Raw genomic sequence first — 15,572 nt, 5'->3', positions numbered from 1 at the left:
CAGGGCCATTTTCCACCATTAACAGAAGGTAGATGAGGGAGGGGAGGGAGGGGCAGGCGGGTGCAGGCCCAGAGCTGGCACAGTTGCCTGGAGGCTTCCTTGGTCCTCCTGGTTCCTGAAGCCGGAAGCCAACTGGTGTCCAGTTTCCTGATGGCCAGGTAAGGCTTCACTGGCCTGTGCTGCCAGCTGGGTCTCCCCATCCAGTCTGACAAGGGTGGGGATTGAGGGGCTGGCGAGGAAGGATGAGTGCGGTCTAGGGGCCAGGCAGCGGCTCCCTTTGGGCCCACAGCCCCACAGGGTAAGTACCACCATCACTCCCAACTTACATCACAGGACACTAGGGCTCCGACTGGCCAGGTACTTGCCCAAGGTCACTCTGCTTTGTGAATGGGATTTGAACCCAGAGGCCGGATTCGAGAGGTCACATCCTGAAAATGCTGCTTCCCCAACCAGTGGGACTAGCTTCATTCACAGATGTCTCTGGACACATGGGCTGGGCCTCGCCTATGCTTCCTCCCTGGGGACGTGGAAGCATGTTTGGGAGGCTGCAAAGGCCAACCCAGAGGGAGGCTAGGCCAGCTGGTGGTGCTGTCACAGGTGGCAGAACCCAGGCTGTCTGGTCTGCATGGCAGTGGGGAAATCAGGCCTCAAATGGTAACTGGTAGTCTCCCAACCAGGGAGCACCCTTCCCTGAGCACCGGGTGCTGCTCAACCTCCTTGGGAGTGGCTGTCCACCTTTTCCTGAAATGTAGGCTGCTTGCGAAGAGCTCATGTGCTCCGGGGTGCCAGAGCCAGCCCTCTGCAGTTCCTGATGCCCATCCCAAAGGAATCTCTGGCCTGCCTGGGGGGCGCTGTGTGCTGTTGGCACATTCCAAATCTTTGCTGCTGTGGCTGCTGCTACGTGTGTGAGACGGGGCACACTCATCTGTATCCCTGGGGGTGTATACAGGCCTGGGCCTCGCCAGCAGGTGTGTGGCTGTGTGTGTGCACACCCACATGTGTATGCATCTTGCTTTCTTTGTGTCTGTCTGTGCCGTGTGACCATATGTGTTTGCACACATACATGTCTTAGGTGTTTGTGCACCATGTGTGGCTGCCTGTGTGTGCATGTGTTATGTGTGGGTGCAACACCCGGGGAGCAGTTTGCAGCTTTTGTTTTCTTGACCATACTCTGGTTCTGAGAGCTCTTGAGAGTTGTCTGGGGCAGAGGTTCTGGCCAGTGAGGCTGAGCTGTGGTCAGGGAGCTGTGAGTGGAATGTATGTTGTGGCACTGGTGCCACCTTTCCATTGAGTGCCAATCTGGCCAGAGAAGGGAATTTTCCTGAACAGTGTCTAGGTTTATGGAGGCCCCTCCTGAGTGAGGACATCACTCTGTCCTGTCTCCCACCCCATTCAGACAGACCGGAGAGGCTTCTGTGAGAGCCCACCCTGGGGCCTCACAAGGTCTCCATCCTGGAGTCCCCACCTCTCTGAGCTTTGTACCTAGGCCTGCCGAGTGGGTGCATGGCTGACAGGTTGCTTGTGAGAGGAGGACACAGCAGCAAGTACACTGCATAGGAGGTTAGAGGAGCCGAGAGAAGGGCCAGGAGTGCTCTTGATTGAAGCAGGAAACTTGTGCAGAGAAGGCGAGGGCACAGGTATGTGGGGGCTGTGGTCTTGAGCCTACGCCTGGGTCAGCCACTAACTTGTCATGTGCCTTTGGGGTGGTCCCCCTCCAAACCTCAGTTTCCTGTCTGCAGAGTGGAGGGCTAGCCCTTTGCAGCCCAGGGCAGGCGTGCAGGGCTCCACAGCGGCCTCCTTGTTGTTTGTACATCATAAGGATACAAACTCATACACGGCAGTTTCTGAGGAGGAACCCTGAAGGCATTCTCTCCAGCCCCCAAGAGGGTGGTGCCTATTGTGAAGGGACCCCCTACTCCCAGGGACCCTGTATGCACTCTCCTCTTGGTGAGGGCGGGCAGGGGCTGCAGAGAGGCAGGGAAACCTCCCTCCAAGCACCAGTCTGGACTCCTTAGTCGGGCTCAGGTTTCAGCGCCGTCTCCTGGCCATAGTCGACCGTTGGCAAGTAGCTCCTCTAGATGCCGTGAGGCTGGGTAGGGTGATGGGGAGGGCAGGTGTGGTCCTCATCCAAGGCCAGCCTTCTTCCTGGATATCTTAGGGCCAGAGAGCTGATAGGCCCCTCAGCCCAAAGTGTATCTCAGTGAGGCAGATCTTAGTTCTCTATACAGTGGCCTCAGGAGGTAATGAGTTCCTCATGGCAGGGGGTGTACATGAGAGAGTGGGGACCTGTGGAGGGGATTCAGCTCTGACACATCTGAGCCCTGGCACTGGTCGTGCTGCCCAGGACCCACTTGGCAAGAGAAGGTGTAGTGGTTGCCTGGCCCAGTGAGATCACAGTGGCACTGCCCCCAGGAGCTGTCCCTGCTGCCAGCCATGCCCCGGGCTTCCTGAGGGCTCCTCCAGCTTCCCCCAAGGTCCCCTGGAGTGGGTCTGGCCCTGGTGGGGTAACTCATGGCAGAGGCGCTGTTCGGCTGGGAGCTGAGGACACCGGCCTCTAGGGAGGGCTGCTTTTCTGAGGATGCGGGGAGTCCTCAGCTGGCTTTCAGGGATCTTGAAACCCTGGGGATGTGCCCAGTCTGCTTGTGTCTCTTAATGTGGTGATAGTCTTCAACTGAGAGGGAGCCCCTGCAGCTCCTTACAGCAGTCAGGAGGGAGGATGGACCCCGCTTTGGGGCAGCTGGGTCTGGACAGGACTGGAAGGGTAACGATGATGATGGTGAGATGGCGTATTTACTGACCACTCACTGTATGCTGGGCACTATTCTAAGTTTCTCAGAGCTGGAATCCCCTCCGCCCACTATTGTAACTTGCATACTTCCTGCCATGGGGAGCTCATTACCTTCTGAGGCCTTTAAGTGTACTTTGCTGTGCTTCAGTTTCTATTCAAGCTTCTCGTTCTGGCCCATAGACCCACACAATGTGCTTACCTGTCTCTTCCCCTTACTGAGTGGGATCCAGCCACGCTGGCCTCCCTGCTGTGGCTCAGGCTCCCGCGTGGGCATCCGCCCTCTCTGTGCCCTCTGTCTCAAATGACCCCTGCCCTTGAGGCTGTAGTGACAGCTTAAGGTTTTCGCATTAGCTCATCAGGTCCTTGTAACTGCCTGGTAAAGTGTAGGCACCAATCTTCATTTTACAGAGAGGGAAACTGAGGCACAGACTGCTCACGTCACATGCCCACAGGGACATAGCTAGTGAGCAAGGATCTGGGTTGCATGACTAAGCCCTAGCAGAGCCCTGCTCTGGCCACCTGGTGGTCCTAGCTGGTATCAGAGTCGCCATGTGTGCCTCCAGTCTCCCACCAAGAGGTCGGCCCAAAAGGCATTATGCTTCTGGGCTATGGGAAAAGAGCTAACGACCACAATCGAGATAATAACCAGGGCCTCTAATGCATACTTGGCACTGCTCTGAGCAAAATTCACACATATTAATTTACGTAATTCTCAAAATTAGTAGGCATCAGCATGTTGTCCCTATTTCACAGAGGAGAGAATTAAAGCACAGAAGAGTTAGGTAAATTCTCCAGTCAGCCAGCCAGTAAGCCCCAGAGCCAGGAGTTCAGCTGAGGCTGTCTGCCCAGAATCAGGGACCTCCCTCTGCACCCCGGTGTTGGGTGCTAACTCTGGTGTTGGGAACCTCCACCTCCATCTGCAGCTCAGCCTGGTCTTTGGGGTGGCAGCTCTACACACTCACCTACTCCCCGTGGGGGAGCTCTCCACTCCCAGGCCGCGTCTCTTCTTCCTGGTGGCCTAGATGAATGGGATGCTCTTTCTGCCCAGGCTGGCTCTGGCCTAGTACCATGTCCTGTGCTCGGAGAACAAGCCAGGGCCCCTCAGGCCCCTCATACCTCTGTGTAATGGACAGTGCCCTCCCTCCACTGCTGAGGTCGTCACCTGCCCAGGTACTCAGCCTCCACTTCCTTCTGCTTTTGGTCCTAAGAGTACTCCCTGTCCCTTCTCTGGTGACATGATTTTGGCACCCTCAACAGGGCTGAGAGCAGGCTTTCCCTGTTCTGATCCAGCCGTCTGGGAAGTGCTGCTTGCCTGCCTTCCTAGAAGTTTCCTTGCCTCACTGTCAGACATAGGCATCCTTTGTTCCTTGCAGCAGAACGTCCTGTTCCAGAATGGCCAAGCCATTCCATCCAGAAAGAATCCCTTCTGCTGCAGTGAATATGAATATGAATAACTGTCATCAGCCTGTAGGGTGGGTACTTTTGTCGTCCACAGTGGATGTGGTGGGGGACAGAGAAGGGGAGTTCCAGGCTCCTCTTGAGCGTCAGAGCCAAGAGGTGGTAGGTGCAGGATTCAAACTTAGGGGTCTGGCTCCCAGCCTGCTCTCATGACCCCTCTGCATTGAGGCTTTTTCTGACCTCCTTCCCTCTGTAGGCAGAGGCCCCCAGTATGGTTGGGCAGGTTGTGAACTGCACAACTCTAGGGAGCACCATTTCCATTGCAGTTTCTGAGACTGGACTGTTTGCGGTGTTGTCTGGCGGATGAGGGTTAGTGTCTCAAGGAAGGGACGCCTTCATACAGAAGTGCTGTATGCACCAGCCCTGACATTATAGCTGCTCTAGAGAGACACTGGACCCCTGTGTACCCTCTGCCCTACAGCTCAGCACAAATCATAGTGCTGCCCTGTCTGCAGCAGGACCCACCAGGAACCAGGCCCAACACTCAACTCCATGCAGGTGATAAGAGCTCATCATTCTTGAATAATTGCCACGTGCTAAGCAGGGCTCTAAACCGTTACTGGTTGCCTTGTACAATCCTCACAGTCCTCAGGAATAGGTCTTTTGTTCTCCCTTTGTCTGGGTAGAGAAACTGAGGCTCAGGGAGCTTGGTGACTTTCCTAGTTTGCCTGGTTGGTAAGTGGCAGAGCTTACTGCCTACAAGGGCTGCATCTTACCCACCGGGTTCCCACATCCCCCACTGTAGTCCCCAGGGCTCTCTGTTGGCTGCTGTTTGGGAGAATGTGGCATGCAGGGGTGAGGCAGGGGGTCTTCTGAGGGCTCAGTTCCCAGGGAAGTTCCTCTCAGGTGCCAGGACCCTGTGGCAGCAGGGAGGGAATTCAGGTGAGGACAGCATGTTGTCCAGCTTGGTTCTATCTCATCTGCCTGTCCTTCCCAGGGTGTCACCATGACCAGAGATCTGTGTGGCCCCACGTCACCACCTGTGGCCTTTGAGATGAGTCTTGGAAGGTGGGCAGGAATGCCAGAGTCTTCATTGGATGAATGAAGAAATTGAGGCCCAGAAAGGACCATTCAGGGCACCCAGTGGGGTGGGAACTGTCAAGGCAGGAGCCTGAGACTCTGTCCCCTGGGCTGTGTGACTTGGCCTCTTTAAACCCTTGCCATGGTCTTGCCAGTCCAATGGGGCTGGCTCATCCTGGTTCCCTGGCCAGTGAGATGCTGGGTGACCCCAGGGCTGCAGCCTGGGAGGCGTGGCACTCTGTGTCTGCAGCTTTCTGCTTACCCCTGCCCTGGGCCAGCTCCTCTGCTCAGAAGCTGTGTGCCCAGCTGCAGCTGGGGGCAGGTGTCCTGCCCAGGAGCACAGGTGTCAGCTTTGACTGCCAGGGCACATTTATCCCATTTCCTCACTGGCACAGGGCCCTGTGACACACACACCCATCCAGGCCTGTACAGGAGGCTGGGGGGCTCTGCTGACTGGGAGTCCAGGTCATCTGCCATTGCCAGGGCAGGGGGCTGTGTCAAGACCTCTGCTCCAGCCTCAGGGGCCCTGTCTTGTCAGTGACCTGGACCAGGCCCTCAGCACCCTGAGCTTCAGTTTCCTCCTCTGACAGGCAGGGCAGTTGGGCTTCACCTAGTCTGGAGATGTGCTGAAAGCACTGCCCTGTGCCTGGTGCCACCACCACTCTGTGATGTGAGTCGGAGTTCCTGTCTCCTCCTGCAGGCCCTCCTGCCACCCCCTGTGCCTTGTCCAGAGCATGTTCTGCTGGGTCCTTCTGCTCTTCCACCCACAGGGTCAGGGCGCCAGGGCATCACCAGCCCTTACCAATTGCTGGGTGGGAACTGCTGCTCTGGGCACCGCCTCTCGCTGGGTGGCCCTGGTCCACAAAGGGGTGTTGGGCCTCGTGTCCCTGTGTGTGTGTGTGTGCGTGAGTACATGGGGGCATGAATTTGTGCCTGTGTGTGTGTGTGTGTGAGTATGTGTGGGCACATATTCGTCCGTGTATGTTTGTGTGCCTGTATGTGTGGGCATGTATTTGTCCGTGTGTGTGTGCGTGCATGCTTTGGGACTGCTCCTTGACAGTGTCTGCCCCCCTAGGGCTGCTTGCTGTGCCCACTCTTGCATTGAAATCCACCTCCTCAGCACCTACCATATACCAGGCATTGGGCTGGTCATGGGAAGACCACCGGGAACCAAGACAAACATGTCCTTTGTCATGGAGCTGACAGTCTAGTGGGACAGACTGACAGTCATCAAAAAGTTGAAGATAATTTAAAATCAAAACAACAGCAAGAATGAGGAGAGAGAGGTGTGTAATGCCACAGGAGCCTAGAATTGGATGCAGTCCTGGAGGGATTTCCTAAGGAAGTGACATTCGAGCTGAGCTCTAAGGAATGGGTAGGAGAGAGCAAGGAGGGGGAGGGAAGAACATTCTAGAAAGAGGGAACAGTATGTGCAAATGGCCTGTGGCAAGAAGGACCAAGGAAAGGTCAATGCAGGTGGAGCACAGAGCGGGATAGTGTGTCGTGGGAGGGGTAGGTGGGGTGGGAGGGACCTGCTGCCAAGCCAGGGGTGGAGAGGGCCTCAAATCCCTGAGGTTGGTGGCAAGCAGTCCAGGCCCTCGATGCAGCTTGGGCTCTTGACTGTCACATGAGTGCCTGCTCCCAGGCCAGCAGGGCCAAGAAAGCGAAATGTCGGGAGCCACCTGAACTCCCAGATACACTTTGCAGGGTCAATCTTTATTTGGGCCTGCCTTAGAGGGCCCAGCTTCCAGCACAGCTGGTTTCAGGAGTGGGTGGACTCAAGTCTGAGGACCTCTCTCCCTGTGCTGCTTCCTCCTCCCAGGCCTCCGTTTCCCCTCCGGATGGGCGGTCCTGTACAGGCCTTCACAGATGCCCCTGTGGAGTTCTGGTCCAGTGGGGTAGATGAGGCCAGGGTGGTGAGAGGCAGCCAGCATCAGGGCCTGAGCGACTGAGTGCACCTGTGGCCTCAGAGACCCCTGCACACTGGGTGGGCTGTGGGAGGGAAGCCCTGGTCCCTGGTAGCATTGGGGTCCTTTCCTGTTGGGAGCTTTTACCAGCTGCTCTGGCAGTTCCCAACAGAGAATGCCCACTGTGCCAGCATGAGCCTTTACTGTAGTTCTTTCCATCTTGGAGGGGTGGCAGGGGCAGCTTGGCACAGTGGCTCACGCCTTTAATCCCAGCACTTTGGGAAGCTGAAGTAGCCTGATCGCTTGAGCCCAGGAGTTTGACACCAGCCTGGGCAACATAGGGAGGCCTGGTCTCTAAAAAAAAATACAAAAACTATCTGGGTGTGGTGGGCACACCTGTAATCCTAGCTACTCTGGAGGCTAAGGAGGATTGATTGAGCCCGGGAGGCTGCAGTGAGCTGTGATGGCGCCACTGCACTCCAGCCTGTCTCAAAAAAAGAAAAAAAAATGGTATTTTGAGAACTGGTATAGCCTTACCGACGTAGATGGGGGACCCTCCCCTAATCCTGTAGAGGCTGCAGGTCTGCGCAGCCACCCTTTGGGTGAGTGCCAGGTGCACGCCTTGCATCCCGGCAACTTCGTGGGGTCGGGGCAGGCAGGGGCAGGCAGGGCCAGGCCTCGCTGACCGCGCCATGTCCCGCAGGTTCTCGCGCTCTGACGAGCTGTCGCGGCACAGGCGCTCGCACTCAGGTGTGAAGCCGTACCAGTGTCCTGTGTGCGAGAAGAAGTTCGCGCGGAGCGACCACCTCTCCAAGCACATCAAGGTGCACCGCTTCCCGCGGAGCAGCCGCTCCGTGCGCTCCGTGAACTGAAAGCGCCCTGAACCCCAGCCTGTCCGTCACCCCGGATCCCCACCCCATCCCCATTTTTTTAAGCAATAATTTATTTGCCTCCTCCAGAGGGACATGGCAATGTTACCAGCCCACCTTCTGAAGCCTGGGAGGTGTGAACCCAGGGCCCGCCAACCGCTGCCTTTCTCGGGAGTACTTAGAGCCTCGAACCCGCGTCCCTGGGGGCTGGGCCCCAGGCGCACGGGGCTGGAGGCAGGCCTTCGTGCCTTCGTGCCTTCGTGCCTTCCCGCGGTGGCCAGGCCTCTGCTGCAGCCGCTGGTTGCAGGCAGAGTTTTGGGGACCTGGCCCTTCTCCCACTGGGCTCCCCCATCCTGGGCCAAGGCCAGAACTTTAGTGCTAGGGGAAGATGAAATGTGCAGTTTTGAAATGTTGGGTTTCCAGAGAGAGTCATGCTGGAGGAGAAGGAAGTAGGCCAGAAGTCCAGGGCTGCACTGTGGTGTGAGGGTGGCTTTGTCTAAGATGCCTGCTCAGCATGATCACCAGAGGGTGTGGGCAGGTCCCTGGAGCCGGGGGGGGGGGGGGGGGGGGGGGGGGGCAGGACCGGGCCGCTGGGCCCTCATGTGGGAGAGAGGTGAAAAGCGTCCCCCACTAGGGGGCTGGCAGTGCATGTGCTTGAGTTAAATGTGCAGGGCAGACAGAGCCAGAAGGGCCTGTACCCAGGGGCTCGTCCCCTCCTCCGGTTTCCCAGACAAATCCAGACACCAGCCTTTAGGGTGGCCTTGGGAGGAGAGGGCCAGGCTGTCCTGGGTGTGAGAGAACTAGATAGAGCCTCCCAACCCTGATTTAGAAATGCATTCCTTATTTTGTCTAGAAATTAATAAATGAACTAGCTTGTTTTGACAGGTTTATTTCACATCCTATGAATGTATGTAAATAAACTGTACATAGGTCCATCCACATAAAATATCTTTTAATAACATATCAACATTTGTGTAAATTTGAAATTTAAAAAAATCTATGAAGCTGGTGTACATATGTTACAATTACGTATATTTTCTTTGGTCCTTCATAAAAATATATTTACTTTGCCAATAAAAAGAAAAAGAACTCACAGCTTTTGGCATTCATGTGCTGTTTTCCTGCTTTGCCGGGATGTGGAGGTGACTCTGGGGCCGAGTCTATGTCTCCACCTTCGCAGAGTTCAGGGAACTCTGTTTTGTATTTGGAGGGATAGAAAGGCCCCTTGGGGTCCAGCCCCGGTCCAGCAGGGTAGGGTTCCCATACAGCTCAGCTCCAGGCCAGCTGCTGAGATTCTGCTCATCCCGGCTCCCTGACCTGGAGCTCCGTAAACCCAAATCCAGCCCACATTCCGACAGCACCTGTGGGAAGCTGCCTCAGGCCTGGCCAGTCCTGCGAGGCTCACCTACTCTGCTATCGGAGACCCTTTCTTGCACTTCCTACCCCCATCCAGTCCACCAAACCTATTACACATGCCCTATATGTTTGCTGTGCCTTGGCAGAGTATTTACCCCCTTAGGAACGTGGCTGTGCCATTTCCTACTGGCGTGGGTAATTGTGAAAGTGTTAGGAATCCTGAGCAGGCAGAGGTGAGACTCGGAGAGGCCAGTATATGCAGTTACGTCCTGTCCTCCATCGTCCCTAACTCCCCAACATGCCTGGGGTCTTCGCTGTGTGGTTGCACAGTTGAGGTTGGACCCATCCACACGTCCTGTGCTGGCTGGAGCCTGGGGGAAGTGGGGGCCCAAGCACAAGGAGGGGCTATGAGCCCCACAGGGAATGGCAAGGAAATGGAGGCTGACCAGGGCCTGCTTCAGTGGCTCAGCTGGTATGAAGCACACACACACAGAGAGGGCTGCCCTGGTTCACCCAGTCATGTGCAGTGGGAAGCAAGAACCTTCTAGAAGGATCCTTTGCTTTATAAGAACTGGATGCAAGTCGGGTCAAGTGTTTCTCGGTGAAAACCTTGGAGATCTGGAGGCTGGGGGTAGGGCACCCATGGGCTCCCAGCAGAGAGATGTCTGAATGTGGGGGTCTGTGTGAGGTCGTGCATCTCAGAGGGCAGAGGCCGTTGTTCTCACCAGCCGCCCAGCACACAGCACAGCTGATAGGAGGATGGACATCCTATCCTGACTGGCCATGGTCCCGAGGAGGAGGCTGGGCCTAGTGACCTCTGTCCTTTGCCCCTGACCGGATGTACCCTCTGTGGGCAAACACACTCTAGGGAAGCAAGGCATTGATTTCCAGCCTTGTTAACATGGGCTTTCTTCATCCATAAACAAGCAGTTCAGCCCTAGATAAGAGGTACGTCAGAGGGACAGGGAGGATTGTTGTCTGGTCAGGATGATGACATGGGACGTGGAATAACCTCGGGAGCATATGCACCTTCTGTGCCAAGGACCGGCCGGACACGCTGCTCACCTCCCCTGGGTGTGTGTCCCAACATCCTGCTGTTGTCTTGTGGCAGGGAGTGTGTGTAAGGGGTGGTCTTAGTGGTCTCCTCAGTCTGGGCTTCCAGGCTTGCACCTGAATTGTGTGTACGTGCACACATATGGTGCACCTCCCCGGGATGAGTGTGCCTCCTGGAGGTCTTGGCTGAGTCGTGGAGAGTACAGCACAGTGCAGGGAACAGGGATAATGGGGCCGCACTGCCTGTTGATCCTGGGCTCCAGCTCTTTATGTGTGTCCTAGACCTCTCTAGATTTCAGCTCCTTCGCCCTGCAGAGCAGTGTGAAAGGCCCCGGGCAACAGCGTGGTGGCACGTGGTAAGTGACTCTGGATGCAGAGCCCAGGATGCAGAGCCCAGCTGTGTGGCACCCCCAGGTTCCTGCTGCAGCCCCAATGTCAGCATTGCCTTGGCCCTGGTGGGGGTTGAGAGTCTGTTACAGTGCCTGGCCTGGCTCCTGCCTCAGAGACCCCCATGCCACCACCTTTCTGACCGTCTGTGATTTCTGTGGCTGGAAGGGGAGTGCTGTGTTGACCTGCAAGCTGAAAAAGCAGGTGGAGATGGGCCCTGGACTCACCACGGTGAGGAATAGAGGTGGAAGCTGGAAGGCTGCAGAGCAGGAACTCCAGCCATAATGGTGCCACCCACCCGCCTGCCCCTAAGGCACACAGAGAGGAAGGAAGTACCATCTACTGATCACTGTACTAGGTAGAGTATGAGTTAGGCTACTATAACAAAGAAATCCCCAAACTTTGTGGCTTAAACAACATAGCAGTTTATTTTCCTCTGCTTAGATGGTCTCAGAGGGAGCAGCCTGGGCTGGCACAGCAGACTGAGTACAGGGCACCCAGCCTCCTTCGCTCTTGTTGCTCCTCCAATGCCCCTTGGCTCCACAGGACTGGGCCAGCTGGGAGAAGCAGGCAAGGGGCCATGTTTCTGCCCTGCCCTCCTGGGATTTGCACACTCACTTCCACTCCCATTCTGTTGGCCGGAACTCAGTAACTCAGCCTCATCCACTGCCAGGGAGGCTGGAAAATGCAGTCGTCATCTGGGCAGCATGAGCACAGCTGGAATGTGGGGCACATGTTGCAGGAGAAGGCAAGGAGGTAGGAGCAGAGGGCAGCCAGGAGTTTCCATTGTAAGCACATTGTTTTGTCCCAGCTGTGCCCACAGTGGGTCCCCCTTCCCACGAGCTGGCAGCATGGCTAAGTCTGGTGGTGCCAGGTGAGTTCAGCTCCCCATGGCCTCGTCCACATTCTCAGAAAGGGCATCACTGATAAGTGTGGGATCAGCAGCCAGACTTCTGGGGCAGCAGATTATTAAGAAGGGAAACTCTGTGGGAACAGAGGAGCCAAAAGGCCCTACGTAGGAGCCAAGATGCCTTGGTTGGGAAACCAAGGCTGCAAATGACAATCTTGACTCCTGCAGACAGCAAACCCTTGCAATGCCATCACTGTCTGTTCGTGAATAGGGTCCAGAGTCTATGTGGGGCCGTGAGAGCCGGGAGGTGGAGAGGGGACATAGGCAGAAAGCCTCAGGACCAGGGCTTCCAGGAAAATTGTCATTTTCCTTGTGTTTTATTGGTTCAGGCTATCCAAGGCCTGGCAGGGGAACCTGTGAGGAATGAACATGTCAACCTGCACAGTGAAGGCATGAGGAGGCGATCTGAACCCACAAGAGAGGGCTGAGAGTGGGGGCCATGTCTGAGTAGGTCCCACTTCATTTGGTGATGAACAGAGATGAAAATGGGGCTTGTTCAAAAGATGCAGAATGAGGCAAAGAGAGCAGCATTCAAACACTCCTGGAAAGTGCACATCTCGATGTGCCCTGGGGGGCCGGGAGGGCACGAGAAACGCCCTGCTGTTTTCAATAAGGAAGAAATAGAGAGCCCAGGCTGTAGTGGGAGGGCACCAGGACCAGGTAAAAAGAGAGCTGGAAGGGATAGCGGGGGATTGCAAGAAAACAAAAGATGCAGGGCAGAGTTAAAATCCACATGGGAGAACGTCAGGAGTGGGCATGAGGACAGGGAACTCCCAGCACTGCTGCAGAAGACAAATGATGACAGCTCGGGCTCTGGCTCGGCTCCCATTCTGTGAGGTCCTGCTCTGTGCCCCAAACAGCCGGGCCCGTCAGGAAGGGACACCAAGGACCCCAAAGGAGCCCCTCCTGGAGGTCTGGACCTGGAGATGAGTGACCAGTCCCCCACTGTCAGCCTCCCTTGGCCCTGCTGCTCCACCCTGCTCTCCAAGCCATCCTGGCGCACGGACATATCCACACCCAGCACTGATAGAGATCGCAGCCGGTCCCCAGGCTGTTCTCAGAACCCAGCCGGGACGTTCCCTGCTGTTTCCATCCTCTGGGTTCTGTGAATTTGGCCTCAACCCTGAGCTGAGCTGACACTGAAAGACAGCAAGAGCAGTGTCTGTAGCAGGCGGCTCCATCACGAGAGTGAGGCGCAAGGCTACGACAGAGCCAGCTGAGGGAGGCCAGGGAAGGGAGTGCGCAGCAGGTGCTGGGAGCTGGAAATACCTGATGAGAAGAGTGAAAATACATTTCTGCAGAAATACGTCTAAATCATTGCAAATGTGTTTAAAACCTAAGTGCAAATGTCAAATATTGATAGAGAAAGAGAAGAAATTTGCGATGTGAAAGTAATAAGACATTACTAGTCTGGCTGTAAATCCCCCATGATATGAACAGACAGGGAAATTGTGTGAAGGATTGAAGTGTGGCTCTCAGGGTCTCCTCCTTCCCACAGAAGTCTTTGCATTACGCATGAAATGAAGAAAAGACATTGATGTCATTTCTGTAGGGTTAATTGGTGAGTTGTTGAACAGCTATCCCCAGAGGGCTCTGTTTAAATGCACGAACGTCACCTTGACAGAGGAAAGAAGGACACCTGTCTGTTTCCACAGCAAAGTGGCAGTGCTCTTCTCTCCCTGAATCCCTGGACAAGGCGTGGACGGTCATGCTGACGTGGCACTGCTGGGAGGACAGCTGGACCACTGCCCATCAGAGGACACCCTGGTGCCACACAGGAGTCCTGGTTCCCACCTTGGGCTGGTTGGCAAAGCCCCTCCCTGTCCTCTCCCAGCCTTCCCAAGCTGGTGGCCTTACTACAAATCTGGGCTCACAGCTGGGATTCCATCCACATCCTGGCAGAGGATGCCCTGCACAAAGCTACCAAGGTGCAGTGGGTTCAGTCTTCCGGATGCCCGAGTCTCTTTGCCAATCTCTCACGCTGGCAAAATGCTTTCCAGATGGTCATGAGGAGCCACAGCGGCTGGAGTGCACTACACTGGGCATCCTATTTAAACTGTACACCAACACCGCCTTCTCTACAAGGCACCCAGGGACTTGCTTTTTGCACCTTCTCCCGCCTTGAAAGCACCTTCATCTTCCTCCTGGAACTTCAAATTCCCCATCTGTTTAAACAAACAGAAGAATTTAGAGCCAGACTCCCCATAAGGGATGATAATAATAGTACCTTCCTCATAGGGTCATTGTGTGGACTAAATGAGTTAAAATATGCAACACACTTAGAATAGCATCTGGCAGAGAGCAACAGCTGTAGTTGTTGGTGGCAATTGTATTATTATCCATTGTTACTTGAGTATATCCTTAATATCCACCCTTCACCCCAGGAAACTTAATAAGACATTTCTTCTCAACGAATACAGCACTCTTCCCACTAGACTTTTTTTTTAATTATACTTTAAGTTTTAGGGTACATGTGCACATTGTGCAGGTTAGTTACATATGTATACATGTGCCATGCTGGTGCGCTGCACCCACTAACTCATCATCTAGCATTAGGTATATCTCCCAATGCTATCCCTCCCCCCTCCCCCCACCCCACAACAGTCCCCAGAGTGTGATATTCCCCTTCCTGTGTCCATGTGATCTCATTGTTCAATTCCCACCTATGAGTGAGAATATGCGGTGTTTGGTTTTTTGTTCTTGCGATAGTTTACTGAGAATGATGATTTCCAATTTCATCCATGTCCCTGCAAAGGACACGAACTCATCATTTTTTATGGCTGCATAGTATTCCATGGTGTATATGTGCCACATTTTCTTAATCCAGTCTATCATTGTTGGACATTTGGGTTGGTTCCAAGTCTTTGCTATTGTGAATAGTGCCACAATAAACATACGTGTGCATGTGTCTTTATAGCAGCATGATTTATACTCATTTGGGTATATACCCAGTAATGGGATGGCTGGGTCAAATGGTATTTCTAGTTCTAGATCCCTGAGGAATCGCCACACTGACTTCCACAATGGTTGAACTAGTTTACAGTCCCACCAACAGTGTAAAAGTGTTCCTATTTCTCCACATCCTCTCCAGCACCTGTTGTTTCTTGACTTTTTAATGATTGCCATTCTAACTGGTGTGAGATGGTATCTCATAGTGGTTTTGATTTGCATTTCTCTGATGGCCAGTGATGATGAGCATTTTTTCATGTGTTTTTTGGCTGCATAAATGTCTTCTTTTGAGAAGTGTCTGTTCATGTCCTTCGCCCACTTTTTGATGGGGTTGTTTGTTTTTTTCTTGTAAATTTGTTTGAGTTCATTGTAGATTCTGGATATTAGCCCTTTGTCAGATGAGTAGGTTGCGAAAATTTTCTCCCATTTTGTAGGTTGCCTGTTCACTCTGATGGTAGTTTCTTTTGCTGTGCAGAAGCTCTTTAGTTTAATTAGATCCCATTTGTCAATTTTGGCTTTTGTTGCCATTGCTTTTTGTGTTTTGGACATGAAGTCCTTGCCCATGCCTATGTTCTGAATGGTAATGCCTAGGTTTTCTTCTAGGGTTTTTATGGTTTTAGGTCTAACGTTTAAATCTTTAATCCATCTTGAATTGATTTTTGTATAAGGTGTAAGGAAGGGATCCAGTTTCAGCTTTCTACATATGGCTAGCCAGTTTTCCCAGCACCATTTATTAAATAGGGAATCCTTTCCCCATTGCTTGTTTTTCTCAGGTTTGTCAAAGATCAGATAGTTGTAGATATGCAGTGTTATTTCTGAGGGCTCTGTTCTGTTCCATTGATCTATATCTCTGTTTTGGTACCAGTACCATGCTG

The 15,572-nt window shown here is 54.0% G+C and overlaps 1 protein-coding gene across 5 annotated transcripts in view, besides 2 other annotated features; it reads left to right on the top strand.

Moving 5' to 3' along the window:
- KLF15 (KLF transcription factor 15) overlaps positions 1–15,572 on the top strand; it is a 69,284-nt gene that overhangs the window by 5,637 nt on the left and 48,075 nt on the right. For 2 of the 5 annotated variants that reach the window (NM_014079.4, XM_011512743.3), the window contains exon 3: positions 7,877–9,137. The exons of the other annotated variants lie outside the window; for them this stretch is intronic. In NM_014079.4, coding sequence (NP_054798.1) covers positions 7,877–8,045 — 169 coding nt within the window. In that variant the 3' untranslated portion in view covers positions 8,046–9,137. Of the gene's footprint in view, positions 1–7,876; positions 9,138–15,572 lie in introns of those variants that run through there. 5 annotated transcript variants of the gene reach the window in all.
- Positions 7,425–8,108: an enhancer, noted in NCBI's record as "H3K27ac-H3K4me1 hESC enhancer chr3:126062507-126063190 (GRCh37/hg19 assembly coordinates)". NCBI's record gives its function as "activates a minimal SCP1, AML or CMV promoter by ChIP-STARR-seq in naive H9 embryonic stem cells {active_cell/tissue: H9 hESC(naive)}" and the evidence as "EXISTENCE:reporter gene assay evidence [ECO:0000049][PMID:30033119]".
- Positions 9,641–10,402: an enhancer, noted in NCBI's record as "H3K4me1 hESC enhancer chr3:126060213-126060974 (GRCh37/hg19 assembly coordinates)". NCBI's record gives its function as "activates a minimal SCP1, AML or CMV promoter by ChIP-STARR-seq in naive H9 embryonic stem cells {active_cell/tissue: H9 hESC(naive)}" and the evidence as "EXISTENCE:reporter gene assay evidence [ECO:0000049][PMID:30033119]".

The sequence above is a fragment of the Homo sapiens genome, chromosome 3 (genome assembly GCF_000001405.40).
Source record: "Homo sapiens chromosome 3, GRCh38.p14 Primary Assembly".
NCBI classification, from domain to species: Eukaryota; Metazoa; Chordata; class Mammalia; order Primates; family Hominidae; genus Homo; species Homo sapiens.
The sequence above is the reverse complement of the archived record's forward strand: the minus strand, read 5'-3'. Positions and strand labels throughout refer to the sequence as shown.